The sequence below is a fragment of the Homo sapiens genome, chromosome 16 (assembly GCF_000001405.40).
Source record: "Homo sapiens chromosome 16, GRCh38.p14 Primary Assembly".
Lineage (NCBI taxonomy): Eukaryota > Metazoa > Chordata > Mammalia > Primates > Hominidae > Homo > Homo sapiens.
In genome coordinates, this window is record NC_000016.10 from 32626608 (window position 1) to 32646117 (window position 19510).

A 19510-nucleotide genomic window follows, 5' to 3' on the forward strand; every position below is an offset into this window, starting at 1 on the left:
TCCTGAGTTGAAATTTTAGGTGTGTTTTGCGACAGTTTGTAAGAAAGACAAGTGGAAGTTTCCTCTGCTTTAGCAAAGCTGCTTGAACATGAACCTTCTGGAAACTTTCATGCAAGTCGTAGGAGCAAGTCGTGCAGATTTTCAAGGATTTGTTTTATTCAGTAAAATAAAGTGCTGCTATACTGTAAGTTTTAGGAGGCAGGAGTTTTTATCTTTTGCTTATTAATATGTCACTGATGATTAAACAGTATGTAATGCAAAGTAGGTGTTCACTAATAATTATTGAAGAAATAAAGTGTCATTTCTGTGTTGTTTTAATTTGGATTTATTAGTAAGGGCAACTTATTTGACTATTAGTTCTAATGATTAAAATGTAATGAGCATTAAGGAAATAAAAGGTTCTATGTGGATTTTGAAGTTCATCTCTATCAATTTGAGGTTGAATGGGAAGAACAGTTTTCTTGACATCCTTCAGCTGTGTTACGAGTACAATTTTGTTTTTTACTCAGGCAAAAGAAAATATGTGTGTGTGTGTTAAATACAGTCAGTCCCCTTTATCTGTGGGTCCTGCATCCTCACTTTCTACCAACCTCAGATCAAAAATATTCCAGAAAAAAAAGGATGTTTGCATCTGTAGTGAACACGTACAAGCTTTTTTTCTTGTCATTATTCTTTATGCAATAAAGTGTAACAACCATTTAAGTAGCATTTCCATTGTATTAGGTATTGTGAGTAATCTAGAGATAATTTGAAGGATATTGGAGGGGGTGTCCAGGATGCAGGCAAGTACTATGGGAATTTATGTCAGGGACACCTACAGATTTTTGTTTCCAGCCATGGTTCCTGTATAATTTAACATTCCCACATGCTGAGGGTGTGATGGGTATGAGTTGGGTTGATCCCTCATGTTTGAGGCAGTGTGTCCATCATGATTGCACACCCTTGTTGTAAACTTTGGATATGTCTATTTCGATATTTAAAACATTTTCAGATTAAGTCTGAAAATGCCAAGACATTAATAATATTTTAAAAGAGAGTTGAGAAGTATTATTATAATAATAGAACTCATTATTAGAACTTTCTAATAGTAGAAAGGAAGTCTATTTATTTTATAAAATTGTCAGTTCACCTTAAGATCTAATAGTCCTTTCCAATTAGCAACAACTTAATTCAGACTACCTCAAAAGAATAATTTAACATTTATTTTTGTAGGAAAAAAACAATTTTAAAATAGCCTGGGAAAATTTAGGTAAGTTTTCCTTAATCTTGACTCTTAATTTGTGGCTAGAAGTGGTAATGATATGAACATAAGTTGTGTTATTTATTAACATATTGCTTTTCATAAATCAGTCCCTTTTTTGTAATTAGGTAAAAAGAGAAAAGAAAGACATTCTTGATTTTGGTGACTAGAGTTGTAGATGCTGGAAAGCTTTGCCACTAAAACTGACAAACCAGATGCTCGTCACTGGCCAATCACGCTGATTCTTAATGCCATAAGTATGAACATACAGTAAAAAACTGTTGATGGAATACATCGGTCTTATGAAATGAAATGTTTTGGTTAAGGATTTTTTAAACAAATTTCACATTACACTACTGGCTTTACTAAATCTGAGTCTTGTATTTCTGAACAGGGCACCATGGCCCAGCACTGTCACCTTTTCCAAGGAACCTGCTGGAGCTCCTGTGGAAGCTGCTCCTTGGGCCGATGAAATCCCTTAGCTGGTAGGACCTTCTTTAGTCACCACAGGATGCCTGCCATTCATGAACAGGAAGGAGAGGATGGGCTTTGAATAAAAAACAGGTAAGTTTCCAAACTGCTTTTCTCTCATTAAGATTTCAATCTTGGCCAGGTGTGGTGGCTCACGCCTGTAATCTCAGTATTTTGGGAGGCCACGGCGGGCAGATCATGAGGTCAGGATATACAGACCATCCTGGCCAACTGGAGAAACTCCATCTCTTCTAAAAAATACAAAATTAGCTGGGCGTGGTGGTGGGTGCTTATAATCCCAGCTACTTGGGAGGCTGAGGCAGAAGAATCACTTGAACCCAGGAGGCGGAGGCTGTGGTGAGCCAAGATCCCTTGCACTCCATCCTGGGCAACAAGAGCGAAACTCCTTTACAAAAAAAAAAAAAAAAAAAAAAAAAAACGCTCCTCTGAGTTGCACATGGCTTGTCCACTGCCTGGTTACATACAAACTGTGTGCTCAGTCTGCTCTTAGGACCTTACAGAAGAAGTGTCTGGCCCACATCAGTGTGAATGCTTTTGCTTGGAATGCTTGCCCACAGCTCCCCCGGGCTGGCTTCTTCTGGGAAGCTTTCCTCCATTCTGCAGATTACTCATAAATAGCAGTCCTTTAACTCCATGGTTTCCCACACTCCTTCTGCAGACGGTAATGTGACGTCCCTCTCCTTATCTATATTCTTCTCTGGAGCACAAGCTCTAAGGATGGGAATAACATCATCTCAGCACCTAGCTCAGTCGTTTAGACAAAGGAAACATGAAAGAAATATTTGCCAAAATAATTGAATACAGGATCTTCAACTCAGATTATTTTCTTTGTTAGGATCCGGAAAATATTTGTGAGGCCACTTGGACTTCAGTGTGAAATAAATATTTTCTGGCTTTGGGAGGTGTCCCTCTTGGTGGAACACAGTAAGTGTCAAAGATGGACACATAGTCCATTATTTGTAGTGTATGGGAGCAGACCACAAATTAATGTTTGGAGAACAATTTTGTCGTAACAGACACTGTTGAGGCTCAGCTGTACAGAACTGGAAAAGTCTTTCAGCTTGGCACATGTCCTGATTCAGCCTTTGTTTAACATATATTCCAATCTGGATTCTATCTTCACTGGCTAGAAAGACCACCTGATATGTGCACCACAACACAGGAGCTGCTGGAGAGGGGGTAGTATTATCACCTCAAACTCACAGCCACTCCATATTTTTCAAAAGCCAGCTTAGACAGAGGTGTACTGATAGCTGCACAGAGAAAATGCGGTCCATCCATTCTTCTCAGTGATGTACATTTCTCAATCAGCAACCACGTGGTTTTAGCAAAAACCACAGAAGTGGTTTTGATGTACCAGCCTTGAGTGTCACATCTCCCAACCATACCAAATGGGTCACCTAACTGGGGGTGGGGGGTGGCCGTCATAAACGAGATTTAGTATTTACTGTAAAATTGTGTTTTTTATTTCTTTTGAGATGGAGTCTCTGTTGCCTGGGCTGGAGTGCAATGGTGTGATCACTGCTCACTGTAACCTCCACCTCCTGGGCTCAAGCAGTTCTCCTGCCTCAGCCTCTCAAATAGCTGCAATTACAGGTGCATGCCACCACTCCCAGATAATTTTTATATTTTTAGTAGAGACAGGGTTTCACCATGTTGGCCAGGCTGGTCTCAAACTCCTGACCTCAGGTGATCTGCCTGCCTTGGCCTCCCAAAATTCCGGGATTAAAGGCACTAGCCACCCTGCCTGGCTGAGAATATTTTCATTTGCTGATTTGTCCCTTGTGTATTCTCTTTGTTCAGATGTCTATTCAGATATTTTTCTCACTTTTAAATTGTTTTTTAATTGTTAAGAATTTTCTATCTAGTTTAGATCTAAGCCCTTTATCAGATATGTGTTTTGCAAATATTTTCTCCTAGTCTGTGGCTTATATTCTGTCTGTCTGTCTCTCTCTCTCTTTTTTTTTTTTTTTTGCATGCCCCACGTCCCGGGTTCATGCCATTCTCCTGCCTCAGCCTCCAGAGTAGCTGGGACCACAGGCGCCCGCCACCGTGCCCGGCTAATTTTTTGTATTTTCAGTAGAGACGGGGTTTCGCTCTGCTAGACAGGATGGTCTAGATATCCTGACCTCATGATCCGCCCACCTCAGCCTCCCAAAGTGCTGGGGTTACAGGCGTGAGCCACTGCGCCTGGCTGTATTCTGTCTCTTAACACCCATTTTATTTTTACTTTTGGAACTAAAGAAGAGGAACAGTAGTCAGCTTTCTGTTATTCTTGTCACAGTAATGGCAGAACCAATTCTGCTAATGCTACGCTGAGCAAAGAAAGTCACATGGTCAAGTCCAACATTAATGAAATGGGGTAGTACGTGCAGGTGGGGGAGGGGAAAAAGAAATGCTTCTTAAGAGGGATATAATCTGCCATACCATCCAGGAACCTACAATGGCTTTCTATCACCTTATTCTCTGGTTTGTTTCATGTTGGAATCTTTCTGAAAGATCCTTCAACCTTTCTGTAAGAATCTAATCTGATAACACCATCAAAAACACACTTCTTTTGGCATAATTTAAATTCTAACACATCATTCACATTTATCTATGTTACATATATAAGAACTTACCCACCATATTCCTCCTTGAGGAATTACAGCATGTAATTCTGTAAACCATGTAATTCTATAACCATTTTTACAATCGTCTAACAATGTTATAATGGATTGGTTGCTTACTATCAATTTTTTAAAAGTCATGGTTTCTCCAGGCATTTCTTGCTCATCAAAATTATTTCATGAGATGGGTCTGTCCTTGTATATTTGAAAATGATGTTTGCTTCCTTCTACTTAAAAAACAACTTGAACATACCTGTTTGGATCACATGGTCTTGTCCTGATTACTTGGTAGAGGTTTCTTCAGCATTGTTATTATTGTTGGGGTGGTAATTATTAATGTATTTCATATTCTGTTTTAAAAATTAAAATTTTAAAGACCAATGTCTTCTTTTCAATTCCAGTACATTTTTCAGAAGTAACTAATGCTATTGGCTTGCGCATTATAATTCCAGACCATTTTATATGTCCTTAGTTATATATACAGTGTGCATATACATGTGTCAAATTATTCCATTTCTTCTAGCATTAAACATTGCTATGGAAAATTCTGAGAAAAATATATATTTGAACCCAACTTCTTCTTTTCTCAGATGTCCCCTCCTTAGGAATCTTTTTTTGATCCTTGAAGCTTGGTAACAACTTTAAATAGGTATATCCCGGCCCAGAGCAGTGGCTCATGCCTGTAATTTCAGCACTTTGGGAGGCTGAGGCAGGTGGATCACCTGAGGTCAGGAGTTTGCCTGGCCAACATGGTGAAACCCCGTCTTTATTAAAAATACAAAAAGTTAGCCAGGTGTGATGGCTGGCACCTGTAATCCCACCTACGTGGGAGGCTGAGACAGGAGAATCGTTTGAACCTGGGAGGCAGAGGTTGCAGTGAACTGAGATCATGCCACCGCACTCTGGCCTGGGCAACAAGAGTGAAACTTTGTCTCAAATAAATAAACGTGTAATTTCATCTCAAATAAATAAATGTGTATAGCTCATTGTTCATTATTGTATGGCATTTTCCTGGACATTTTGTACAATACATATGTGTACTTAACAATGGAAGAAAAATATTCCAAATATAGTAGAAGAAAAAAAAATTTTGGCCAGAGGTTTCCAACACATTTTATTTTGCAGATCACAGATTTAAAGCTTTTGAAGACCATCATCTCTATCAATTCCTATAAAATGTCCAATCAATTTCAGTTTCATAGCAGGCTCTTCTGTACTGCATGCCATGCTTATAGCTGGAGGTCTGGTCACACACACATGAAGGTTGCCCGCTGGTTCCTGGAGATGGTCATGTCCAAGAAGCCTCTTCCAGGGAGCTTCATCTTCCCGGCGGGGGGGTTCCTTTGGCAAGAAGTGGATACGTTTACACATGAGGCTTTGGTGCCTGTGAGCGGGAAGTGTCAGAAACTTTCAGGATATGCTGCTTCTCTTAGGAAGTCAGGGACCCAAGGATCTAGTGCCCTTGCGCTTAATGAGAAGGATTCCTCCTCATTGTTTAGTGGGTTAAAATACAAGGAAGCCGGCAGGGTGCGGTGGCTAGCACCAGTAATCCCAACATTTTGGGACGCCGAGGTGGATGGATCACCTGAGGTCAGGAGTTTGAGACCAGCCTGGCCAATATGGTAAAACCCCGTCTCTAACAAAAAATACAAAAATTAGGGGTGTGGTGGCACACGCCTGTAGTCCCAGCTACTCAGGAGGCTGAGGGGGAGAATCACTGGAACCCAGAAGGCAGAGGTTGCAGTGAGCCGAGATCATGCCACTGCACTCCAGCCTGGGTGACAGAATGAAACTCCATCTCATAATAAAAAGTATATATATATATATATATATATATATGGAAGCCTCTGTTTTTAAGTAACACAGATAACACCTTTTTAGATCACCTATTTATTCTAGAACTACAGTTTTTGTTGTTGTTGTTTTGTTTTGAAACAGAGTCTCACTCTGTCATCCATACTGGAGTTCAGTGGCAAGATCTTGGCTCACTGCAACTTCCGCCTCCCAGGCTCAAGTGATTCTCCTTCCTAAGCCTTCCAAGTAGCTGGGATTACAGGCACACACCACTACTGCCCGGCTAATTTTTGTATTTTTAGTAGAGACAGGGGTTTCACCATGTTGGCCAGGCTGGCCTTGAACTCCTGGCCTCACACAATCCAACTACCTCAGCCTCCCAAAGTGCTGGGATTATGGGCATGAGTCATTGTGCCCAGCCTAGAACTGTAAAATTTAATTCAAGAAAATATAGGTCCCATGAAAGATTTAAGAGTTTCATAAAGCTAAAAAGCTAAAATCTAGTCTTTTCCGGTAAATTGCACTTTAGTCAAAACCCTCCCAATGCTTCTAAAATAATACTAAAAGGGGCATCTAGTAATACAGGAGCAATTTTTTTTTTTTTTGAGGTGGCTCGATCTCAGCTCACTGCAAACTCTGCCAACCAGGTTCAAGTGATTCTTGTGCCTCAGACTCCCAAGTAGTTGGGATTGCAGGCGCCCACCACCATGCCCAGCTAATATTTGTATTTTTAGTAGAGACGAGGTTTCACCATGTTGGCCAGGCTGGTCTTGAACTCCTGACCTCAGGTGATCCACCCACCTCAGCCTCCCAAAGTGCTGGGATTACAGGCATGAGCCACTGCACCCAGCCATACAGGAGCAAGTTCAAAAATTAAATATTTATTTGAATAACAAGCTTACATTTGAGCTGCAACATTGGCAATTCAGACTTTGAACATGGATCACAAAAAGCATGTATAAAATACTACTGGCCCAGAGAACAAAACACTGCTAAGAATTAGGCTAAATAGCTGCTGCTTTTAAGAAAATAAAAGGCCTGAAATCAATATACAAAATTTTACAAAATGTATTGGCCAGGCACAGTGGCTCACGCCTGTAATTCCACACTTTGGGAGGCCAAGATAGGAGGATCACTTGAGGTCAGGAGGTCAAGACCAGCCTGGCCAACATGGTGAAAGTCCGTCTCTACTAAAAATAAAAAATTAGCTGGGTGTGGTGATGTGCACCTGTAGTCCCAGCTACCCAGCAGGCTGAGGCAGAGGAATTGGCTCAAACCCAGGAGGCAGAGGTTGCAGTGAGCCCAGATCATGCTATTGCACTCTGGCCTGGGCAACAGGTGAGATTCTGTCTCAGGAAAAAAAAAAAAAAAAAAGATATTAAACAGTAGCATATACAGAACAATCTTTGTTATTGACTAAACTTAAAAATTATTTGCATAGTTAATTATATATTGCAAATGAGCATAATACATGAACTTCCTTTTGGAGGGCAATTCCTTGTTACACTAAGAAACATCTAATTTTGGCCGGGCGCAGTGGCTCATGCCTGTAATTCCAGCACTTTGGGAGGCCAAGATGGGCAGGTCACCTGAGGTCAGGAGTTGGAGACCAGCCTGCCAAATATGGCAAAAACCCATCCCTACTAAAAATACAAAAAAATTAGCTGGGTGTGGTGGTGGGCGCCTGTAGTCCCAGCTCCTTAGGGAGACTGAGGCAGGAGAATCGCTTGAACCGGGGAGGCAGAGGTTGCATTGAGCTGAGATTGTGCCACTGCACTCTGACCTGGGCAACAAGAGTAAAACTCAGTCTTAAAAAACAAACAAACAAACAAACAAAAATACCTAATTACATCGCATTGCAAAACAATCTCATTTTTGCTGTCAATAAACAGTTAATAGTATTACTGTAAATATCAGGAAGGCTACAAAAAAAGATTTCTTTTTGTCTTCAAAGTGTTTTTTATGCAGTGAAGCACTTACTGTGTTGAACAGAATGCAGTACTGGAAAGTGTCCTGGGTGTCTGGGTGTGCAATGCTCTTGAGTGACAAATTAGGCTTTTCTATTTTTTTTTTTTTTTTTTTTTTTTTTTTTAAACAGAGTCTCACTGTTGCCAGGCTGGAGTGCAGTGGTGCAATCTCAGCTCACTGCAACCTCTGCCTCCCAGGTTCAAGTGATTCTCCTGCCCCAGCCTCCCGAGATGCTGGGACTGCAGGCGCCACCATGCCCAGCTAATTTTTTGTATTTTTAGTAGGTTTCACCATGTTGGTCAGGATGGTCTCGATCTCTTGACCTCGTGATCCACCCACTTCAACCTTCCAAAGTGCTGGGATTATAGGCGTGAGCCACCGCGCCCGGTCCAAGACTAGGCTTTTCAAATCAAAGAGAATCTTGCAACCCTCTTACAACTGGGTTACCATCGTGTGCCACTTACCAACGCTGTCTTTCCAGAAAACCATTCAAGATACTAAAAAAAGATTAGACTTATACGATAAACATACATAAAATGAAAAGACACCAACTGCTATTGGTAATGTCTGTCATATGTGAAAACACTTTTTATTTTATTTTATTATTTATTTTGAAACAGAGTTTCACTCTTGTTGCCCAGGCTGGAGTGCAATGGCACGATCTCGGCTCACTGCAACCACCGCCTCCTGGGTTCAAGTGATTCTTCTCCTACCTCAGCCTCCCAAGTAGCTGGGATTACAGGCATGCGCCAGCGTGTCCAGCTAATTTTCTGTATTTTTAGTAGAGGCGGAGTTTCTCCATGTTGGTCAGACTGGTCTCGAACTCCCAACCTCTGGTGATCTGCCTGCCTCGGCCTCCCATAGTGCTGGGATTACAGGTGTGAGCCACCGTGCCTGCCCGTGAAAGCACTCTTAAAAACAGAGTACCTCTGCTGCCTGGTCACATTCTGTACCTGTTCCCAAACCCTGAAGCCAGTGATGTCAGTGGCTGCATGGGCACTGAACAGGTACATGATTCCTGCAGCTTTCCTGTTGACCTGGACCATGTTCATCAATGCTTTTCAGTACGTTAATTCTACATCTTCTTGGATGACCACTAGTTTAATTTTGTTTCATTTTTCAGGAATATCCAGCCACTGGTGCACAGCCATTGCCACTTGTGCCCCCACGGGATCTTGTCAACTCCAGTATGTCCCCTCAGCACTGTGTTATCTGGCATAATAAATGTAGTTGGGCTGTAGTTGTAGTGAGTCCTCCCAAAACAACCCAGGAGTTTAATACTGTTTGGCCACTGGTTACAAACATTCCTGCTTCTTCTGCTGTGACTTTAAAAGCCTATCTAATTGTCTGGGCATGGTGGCTCAGGCCTATAATCCCAGCACTTTGGGAGGCCGAGGTGGGTGGATGACCTGAGGTCAGGAGTTTGAGACCAGCCTGGCCAACATGGTGAAACCCCATCTCTACTAAAGATAAAAAAAAAATTAGCTGGGCATGGTGGCGCATGGCTGTAATCCCAGCTACTCGGGAGGCTGAGGTAGGAGAATTGCTTGGGCGACAGAGTAAGACTCCTTCAAAAAAAAAAAAAAAATCCTATCTATTCAGGGACATCACCTTTCCCTGCCAGTCATTTTGTTACCAATGAAACTATTCAAATCAATTTTTAGTTCAGAAAAAGTTTATTTTATTGTATCTTTTAACTTTTTTATTGTTCTGCATTTTTTACTTCAAAAACACCTACTATATGTATTTTTTTCTCTTTTGTTTCCTTTTTTTTTCCAAGAAATGTTTTTGTTACTTTCCTTTTTGATTTCTTCACTGACCATTACCATTATTTATATACCATGTACTTGGAGAGTTTCCAACATTTCTCGTTATTGACTTTTAATTTTATGCCATTTTGGTCTGAGAAGATACTTGCTATGATTTTCATTTTTTAAATGCTCTTTTGAGATTTGTTTGTTTTGTGTCCTAAAATGTGGTCTATCCTGGAGAATATTTTGTGAGCTGATTTTGTGAGCACGTTCTGCAGTTGGTGGGTGAAATATTCTGTAATTACCTATCAGGTTTCTTTGATTTATACTGGAGTGTAAGTCTGATCTTTGTTGCTTTTCTGCCTGGAAGGTGTGTCTGTTGCTGAAAGTGGGTGTTGAAGTCCCCAGCTATTATTGTCTGACTCTGTTGCTCGAATAACTCTTACTTTAATAACTGGGGCTCCTGTGTCAGGTGTGTTTACATTGACAACTGTTCTACCTTCTTACTGAATTGATCCCTTTATCATTTTATAATGACCTTTATTTTCTATTTTTGTGCTTTTTTGACTTAAAGCCTATTTTGTGTGACAAGCATAGCTACACATACCCACTTTTGGTAACACCTTTCATTTCTTATCATCTTCATTGAATCTCACTTCTTCACATTTACCAAAATGTCTACTTTTGAGCCATGGCACTTCTTTGAATCTTCAGATCCACCATATCCTGATCAAGCCTTCCTTTTTATCTGTACTCTGAGGAATCAAAAACAGGCATTTTTACAAGAAAGTCTAGGAGGGAAACATAAATCTACGTGTCAAAAGAATGAACATAGAAAATAATGTGTCCTGGTTAACAAAAGTTCTCATTGTAAAGTGTTATGCACAAGATTATGGAATTTTATGTGCCATAAATGAAATTGTCTTGATTTGTCTAAAACTACTTTTAAAAATTACATGTTACTCTAATAAATTTTGCTGCTGCTCACTCTTTGGGTCTGCTCCACCTTTAAGAACTGTAACACTCACCATGAGCATCCGTGGTTTCATTCTTGAAGTCGGCCAGACCAAGAACCCACCAATTCTGGACACAGTAGGAGAAATGTCCAGGTAGGAGCTAGGTGCTGCGGGGCTGGATGCAGGTAGGAACAGGGTGTGGTAGGAGCAGGGTGACAGCTGGGCCAGGTCCAGGAAGGGGCAGAGTGCGGGTAGGAGCAGGGTGCTGGTGGCGCAGGGCGCAGGTAGAAGCGGGGTGCAGGTTGAGCCAGGATGCTGACGGGGCAGGGCAGGGTCCTGGCGGGGGGAAGCGTGGGTAGGCGCAGCGTGCGGGTAGGATCGGGGTGCTGGAGGGGCATGGGAGGGTAGGACGGGGTGCGGTAAGGGCAGGGTGATTGCAGGGCGGGGCGCGGGTAGGATGCGGTGCTGGCAGGGCCAGGTGTGGGTAGGAGCAGGGTGCTGGCGGGGTGGGGTGCGGTTAGGACTGGGCAGTGGGTAGGTGAAGGGTGATGGCAGGGCAGGGCAGGGCATTGGTAGGAGCGGGGTGCCAGCAGGAGTAGGGTACAGGACGCGGGTAAGATCGGAACCTGGTGCAGGAAAGGCCACCAGTAGCCTGGGTCCCAGAACCTCTGCAGGCGCAGCCGCTCCTTTCACCTGGTGTGCCAGCTTGCAGTTTGTGCATTTGTCCCTTTTGGCTGCACAGAGAAGGCAGGGAAACTGCGTGGGAATGCAAGGTCGGGAACGGCCGGGGGTGCGACCAAGGGGACTTGGAGAACCGCCCCACCTCCCCAGGTTCCCCTGGCAGAGCGCACCACCCCCCGCCCCCGCGATTTTTCACAGGCCCAGGCCCTGTGGAGCTGGGCCTCTGTGGAAGGGGTGGGGGCAGGGCAGAGGCAGGAGGACAGAAAGAGCTGGGCAGGGAAGGGGGCCAAGAGAGCCTTTCTCAACATCCAGGTTAGTGGATAGGCTGGGGGTCCTGCAGGGCTAGCCAGGAAGAAATGTAACCATGTGTGGAAAAACAGGAATTGGGAAGGGGTGAGGAAGAGGAGTTGGTCACCAGGCAGCAGGTGTTGCCTTAGGCAATCATAGGGGCTGAGGGGCTGGCTTCTCATTGTCAGGCCCTGGGCTGGTAAGTTTCAAGGAAATCAAATGAAACAAATGTAACTTTCTTTAAGACTAGCAGAATCAATTTCTCTGTTTATTCAAGGAAGCTGTATACATCCGGTCTATGGGAGAATTGGGCACCTTTCAGTCTCATGCATTTTGTCACAGGGAAAAGAACTGGAGAACAGTTTGTTGATTGAGGAGCTGAAGTATTAAGTACAGAGCCACATACATACTTAAAGACCCTGTGAAAAAAATTAATGAACAAAAAATAATTGGAAGAAGGTGAGCAATTATCTGAAACTTTCAAAGGATAAAATGACTACTGGGCATTTGGCTAAGTAGGTAAAATTAAGTGGAGACAGGAGGAACTGTACAGAGCATAAAACTTACATAATTAAAAAGTTTGGGGCCAGGCGCAGTGGCTCAAATCTGTAATCCCAGTCCTTTGAATATTTATATGACTGGGCCAGTGCACCTAAATAATTAATAAATATCCTCCTGAACCCCACTGTTCTCTCTGATTCCTTAAAAATCCCGCTACAAATAACTACTTGTGTTAGGCACACAAGTCCTAAACAACTCTTGAACACAAAATTTTTAAACCAGATAAGTTTTATCCTTTATAAAACTGGAATAATTTATCAGAGGGTGAAGGGTGAGAGGAGGAAGAGGATCAGGAAAAATAACTAATGGGCACTAGGCTTAATACCTGGGTGATGAAATAATCTGTACAACAAACCCCCATGACACAATTTACCTATATAACAAAGCTGCACATCATATACCCCTGAACTTAAAAGTTAAATTTTTAAAAAGTAAGTTTTTAAAAATGTATATTATGTCCAGTACTATGGACGCTGTTCACTGAAATGGATATTTAACATTAAAGGTCCAATTAAAGCATTTCCAGAACTTAAAAAAGAAAGCAAATATTTTTTCTTGCAGTTAAGTTCTATAGCAGAAAAAAGACAAATAAATACACTTAAATTTTAATGTATACAGTGAAATAATGTATTACAGTATTATTTCAAACATACCATTGTTTAATAAAATATTAATAACTGTATAAGAGATTTTAGCTATTTTTGCACATAGTCTCAGATTTTTAAATAAGCACTTTTTAGATTTAATAACATTGAAGGAATATCTGTAAGAACTTAATATCAGAATTAATACAAATGATTTCTGTCACTTCCATGCTCATAAAATTAAGAAACTCTTAAATGTCAAATCTGATTAAATATCAAAAATTACTCATATAAATGCCATAGCTTGGAAATTGGATGTTACTGGATTTTATAGCACAAAAAGTATAAGTTCCTCTTTCAAAATGAAAATGAAATGTACTGTAGTTATTCCAGGGTATATTTAAAGAGCAATAAATTCAAGGAATATGAAAGCAAATAAATTAGGAAGTCAAAACAAGATTATCTGGACATTGTATAGAGTTATGTATCTATTATTTTAGCTCATTCAGAATATTGTGGTATAAGCATTTTCTAGAAGATATATATAATCCAACAATATGTTTCTGTTATTTTCTTGGACTAATTGAGATTTGCTATTAGATGAACAATAATGTCTTATTTTATATAATGGCTCAAATATAATTTTATATGATACTATGCCTGAACACAGTGAACAAAATCTATATAGGTAACAATGATGCAGCTTAATTTTAAGTAGTGAAGCAAAGCTGTCTTCTGCTCAGAACAAAGTTATTTTTCTTTAAATGCATTAAACATAAGGGAAATATTAGTAGGACTTGATGAACAACAGTTAATAGTGATAATTGAAACCATCCAATCACCTACCCATATACTATGACATTTATTATATAGGAAATTTCATCAAAATGTTACATTGTGTAAAATAAAATCATGGGGCTTGATTTCTTTAGGGTCTTTAATCTTTGTGGAAGAATTTCAACCTCAGCTAAAATTTAGAAAATGAATTCCGATGAAACTTGAAAGACTGAAATATTTTAATCTCCCTACATCAGGAACTGCAGATAGACACTGTTACTAACTGGCTTCCTATGGGCCAGGGCTGAGAGGAAAGGCAAAGCAAACATTTGGTGCCCTATCTATATAATGGAGCTTTTTTTTTACAACTCAGATTATTACCCATCCCATCTTTCAGTAGGCTGGGAAGAAAAATGAGGAAATACTCCTTTCTTTCTAATGCAAAAGAAGATTAAAATTGTATGTATTTACCATGTAGAACATGATGTTTTGAAGTATATATACATTGTGGAATGACTAAATCCAGCTAATTAACATATGTATTATCACATATTTTGATCACTTTTGTGGTTAAAACACTTAACACCTACTCTCTTAGCATTTCTCAACAGTACAATAAGTTATTAAGTGTAATTCACCATGTAGTAGGTTAGATCTACTGAATTTATTCCTTCTGACTGAAATTTTATATCCTTTGATTAACATATATGCAGCCTTCCCAGATCTCAACCACCCCAGCCTCTGGTCACCATGATTCTACTCTCTGTTTAAGTTCTATCATTTTAGCTTCCACATATAAGTGAGAATATGTGGTATTTGTGCGTCTGGCTTATTTCACTTAGCATAACGGCCTGCAGGTTCATCCCTGTTGTCACGAATGACAGGATTTCCCTCATTCTATGGCTGAATAGTACTCCTTTCTGTATATTTACCACATTTTTAATCCATTCATCTGTTGATGGGCACTTAGGTTGACTCCATATCTTGGCTATCGTGAATAATAGTGAAATGAACTTGGGAGTGCCAATTTCACTTCTTTTGGATATATACCCAGAATTAAATTGCTGGATCATGTGGTAGTTCTATTTTTAATTTTCTGAGGAACCTCCATACTGATTCCATAATGGCTATACTAATCAGAATCCCAAAAACGTACAAGCTGCCCTTTACGCCACAGCATCACCAACACTTATCTCTTGCTTTTGGTAATAGCCATTCTTAAATGTGTGAGGAAATATCTTGTGGTTTTGATTTGCATTTCCCTGATTAGTGATTTGAGCATTTTTTCAGACTCCAGTTGATCATTTGTATGTCTTCTTTTGAGAAATGACTATTCAAGTCCTTTGCCCATTTTCCTTTTTTTTTTTTTTTTTTTTTTTTTTTTTTGGTGAGACGGAGTCTCTGTTGCCAGGCTGGAGTGCAGTGGTGTATCTTGGCTCACGGTGACCTCTGCCTCCAGGGTTCAAGCGATTCTTCTGCTTCAGCCTCCAAAGTAGCTGGGACTACAGGTGTGCGCCCCCATGCCCAGCTAATTTTTGTGTTTTTAGTAGAGAAGGGATTTCACTATGTTGGCCAGTATGGTCTCGATCTGTTGACCTCATGATTCACCTGCCTCGGCCTCCCAAATGCTGAGATTACAGGTCTGAGCCACCGCGCCTGGCCTCAAATTTCTTTGTTTCTTGCTATTGAGTTGTTTGAATTCTTTATATTTTTTGGATAGTAGCTTCTTATCAGATGTGTGGTTTGCAGATATTTTCTCCCATTCTGTAGGTTTTCTCCACTCTGTTCATTGTATCCTTTGCTGTGCAGAAGCTTCTTAGTTTGCTGTAATATCATTTGTCTATTTTTGCTTTTGTTGTGTGTGCTTTTAGGGTAAAATCCAAAATATCATTGCCCAGATCAGTCTCATGGAGCTTGAGCTTGGGAGTCTGAGACCAGCCTGGGCAACATACATCACGTCTCAAAAAAAAAATAAATAAATAAAAGCCATGTGTCATGGCATATGCCTGTAGTTCCAACTACTCAGGAGGCTGAGGCAGGAGGATCACTTGAGGCAGGGAGGTGTGGGCTGCAGTTAGCCGTGATCATGCCACTGCATTCCAGTCTGGGTGGCAGAGACTGTCTCAAGAAAAAAAAATCATGTCATCTGCAAATGAACAACTCAACGTTTTTCTTTCCAATTTGGATGCCTTTTGTTTCTGTTGCCTAACTGTTCTAAGACCTCCAGTACTATACTGAATAGAAGTGGTGAGAGGGCATCCTTGTCTTGTTCTGGATCTTCTTTCTCTGTTGATTATGATGCTAGCTGTGACTCTGTCATATGTGGCTTTTATTGTGTAGTTGCACATTCTTTATATACCTAATTTGTTGAGAGTTTTCATCACTAATAGATGTTGAATCTGTCAGATTCTTTTTTCTGCATATATTTAATGCTCACAGAGTCATATGGTTTGGATCTCTGTCTCTACCCAGATCTCATGTTCAATTGTAATCCCCAATGTTGAAGATGGGGCCTCGTGGGAGGCGATTGGGTCGTGGGGACAGTTTCTCATGGTTTAACACCATCCCCCTTGGTGTTTTCATGGCAATAGCAAGTTATCATGAGATCATGTTTTAAAGTGTGTAGCATCTGCCCCCACCCCTCATGCTCCAGCCATGTGAAGTGCCAGTTTCCCCTTTGCCTTCCAATGAGCAGATGCTGCCATCTGTTATTGTAATCTCATCCTCTCATAAAAGTGTATTATATTTCTCATAACCAGCCCTTCATATTCTATTCCTATTTTGGTATTTTAAAATAAAATATCCTTGAAACACTTGAATTCAAAGAGAGAATCTGAATGGTTTTTAAAAAGTCAATGAAATGCCGTTTCTTCATGCTTGAACAACTAAAAATTGACTAAAGTGCTTCTCTTCAAACTTTCTGGAACATTTTTTATCTAAATTCTAAGAGCAATCACGATAGGTTTTAACCACAATTGTGAGAATATTCTAAATGTTAGGGTGGAAAAAAATTTAAAATAATTTTATAGTAATTTTTTTATCATGGTGACAGTGTGCTAAATTTTTTTAAGTGAAATATTACTGTAGACATTTAAGTCAAGATTCTAAGAAACTGTTGTAAAGTCCAAAATTTTGTTTCATATACAATGCTATTATATATATATTTGCATATAAAATTAATATATGTGAGCCATGTTTCAAATGCTTGAGAGATTATTATATCAAAGATTCTTGATTATATAAAATGCCAATTACTTATAGGCACACATGCTTTAAATAATTACAAAGGCAGTTGTGGTTGATTCTACTCTTGCTACTGGCATTTATGTGGACATAATACTATGGTCTGAAGAATATTTAGGCAAATTTATCCCTCATATGATCAGAAGAACAATGCAAGATAGCCTATATCTGAAAGGAAAAAAATTTTTATATGGTTCTGAAAGCCTAAATCATTAACAACTTGGATAATAATTGGCATAAAAATACACAAACATGCCCTCTTCCTAGTAGTAGGCACACAGTGACAACAGAATCAAAGCATGTGGCTATGTGCATGTTTATATTTCAAGACGCAGAGCACTCTATTCCTCTTCTCTGCCCTTTGTACATGGCACAATTCCTCATGAATCTAAGTGCAGTCATAGGGTGGATGAAGGTGACCTGCCATTTATATGCAACTGATCTCTATTTTGGAAGTAATTAAAGTAAAAATATATTTTTAAAAGATAATTTCAAATTTCAGTGCAAACTAGCATGGTTTCACCCCTTTTCTTTGTAACATTTTTTCTAAGGTTGGAAAAGTAAGGTAGGGTTTAGTACGATTTTTAATAATAAGTTTTCAAAGTGAGATGCAAAATGGTGGCGCCAACACATTTCAAGTCTGCTACATTTTGAGTACACTTATTGGAGAAAATACCTTCTCATCATTTTTCTCTTACAGGAAAGGTAATAACATGTACAGCTGACCCTTAAGCAACACGGAGGTTGAGGTGCTGGCCCCCCTGCACAGTAGAAAATCCACTATAACTTTGACTCCCCCCAAAATAACTACTAATAGCCTATACTAAGCCTTGCAAATAACACAAGCAGCCAATTAACACATATTTAATATGTTATATGTCTTATATACTGTATTCTTAACAAACATGCCAGAGAAAAGAAAAAGAAAATCATAAGGAAAATATACTTACTCGTTATTAAATGGAAGTAGATGATCAAACAGGTCTTCATCCTCATCCTTTTCATGGGCAGGGTGTGGAGAAGGATGTAGAATTCTTGGTTTTGCTAAGTGGACCTGCACAGTTCAAACCCTTGTGGTGCAAAGGCCATCTGTATAGCCTTTGAATAGCAATTTATTTTTAGAAATTAAACTCACTAAAATACTCTTAGAAGGATGCCAAGAAAAAAATCAATAAGTATTTTTGGTTCATCTATTTCATCATTTCATTTCATTTCATCATCATTTCATCATTTCATTTCATCATGCCATTTCATTTCATCCTTTAATTTCATCATTTCATCATTTCATTTCATCATTTCATCTCATTATTTCATTTCATCTCATTTCATCATTTCATTTCATTCTTTCATTGCATCATTTCATCATTTCATCTCATGATTTCATTTCATCTCATCATTTCACTTCATTTCATTTCATCTCATGATTTCATTGCATCTCATCATTTCATCTTTTCATCTTGTCATTTCATTTCATCATTTCATATTTTCATCTCATCATTTCATCATTTCATTTCATCAATTCATCATTTCAGTTCATTTATTTCATCATTTCGTTTCATCATTTAATTTCATCATTTCACTTCATTTCATCATTTCATATAATTTCATCATTTCATTTCATCATTTCATCTTTTTTCATTTCATAATTTCATCATTCCACTTCATCATTCCACTTCATCATTCCACTTCATCATTTCATTTCATTTCATCATTTCATCTCATCATTTCATCTCATCATTTCATTTCATTCATTTCATTTCATCTCATGATTTCATTTCATCTCATCATTTCACTTCATCTCATCATTACACCATTTCATCTCATGATTTCATTTCATCTAGTCATTTCATTTCATCTCATCATTTCATCTTTTCATCTCGTCATTTCATTTCACCGTTTCTTTTCATCTCGTCATTACACTTCATTTCATCATTTCATCAATTCATCATTTCATCATTTCATTTCATTATTTCATCATTTCGTCATTTCACTTCATTTCATCATTTCATATAATTTCATCATTTCATTTTATCATTTCTTTTAATTTCATTTCATCATTTCACTTTATTTCATCATTTCATATCATTTCATTTCATCATTTCATCTTTTCATGTCATTTCATCATTTCATCATTTCATTTCATTCTTTCATTTCATCATTGCATTTCATCATTTCATCATTTCATCTCATGATTTCATCTCACCATTTCACTTCATCTCATCATTTCATCTCATTATTTCATCTCATCATTTCATTACATCCCATCATTTCATGTTTTCATCTCGTCATTTGATCATTTCATTTCAGTTCATCTTTTCATCTCGTCAGTTCATTTCATCATTTCATTTCATCATCATTTCAGTTCATTTATTTCATCATTTCATTTCATCATTTAATTTCATCATTTCACTTCATTTCATCATTTCATTTCATTTCATATCATTTCATCATTTCATCTTTTAATTTCATTTCATAATTTCATCATTCCACTTCATCATTTCGTTTCATCATTTCATTTCCTCATTTCATCATTTCATTTCATCCTTTCATTTCATCTCATCATTTC

At 39.1% G+C, this 19510-nt stretch overlaps 1 long non-coding RNA gene across 1 annotated transcript; it reads left to right on the top strand.

Moving 5' to 3' along the window:
* The first annotated feature begins 1108 nt into the window (after nt 1–1108).
* Nucleotides 1109–9360, top strand: LOC107984013 (uncharacterized). The gene is made up of 4 exons (XR_001752129.2): nt 1109–1497; nt 1635–1804; nt 2568–2656; nt 9227–9360. It is a non-coding gene; the product is annotated as an uncharacterized LOC107984013 (long non-coding RNA).
* Nucleotides 9361–19510: the final 10150 nt, after the last annotated feature.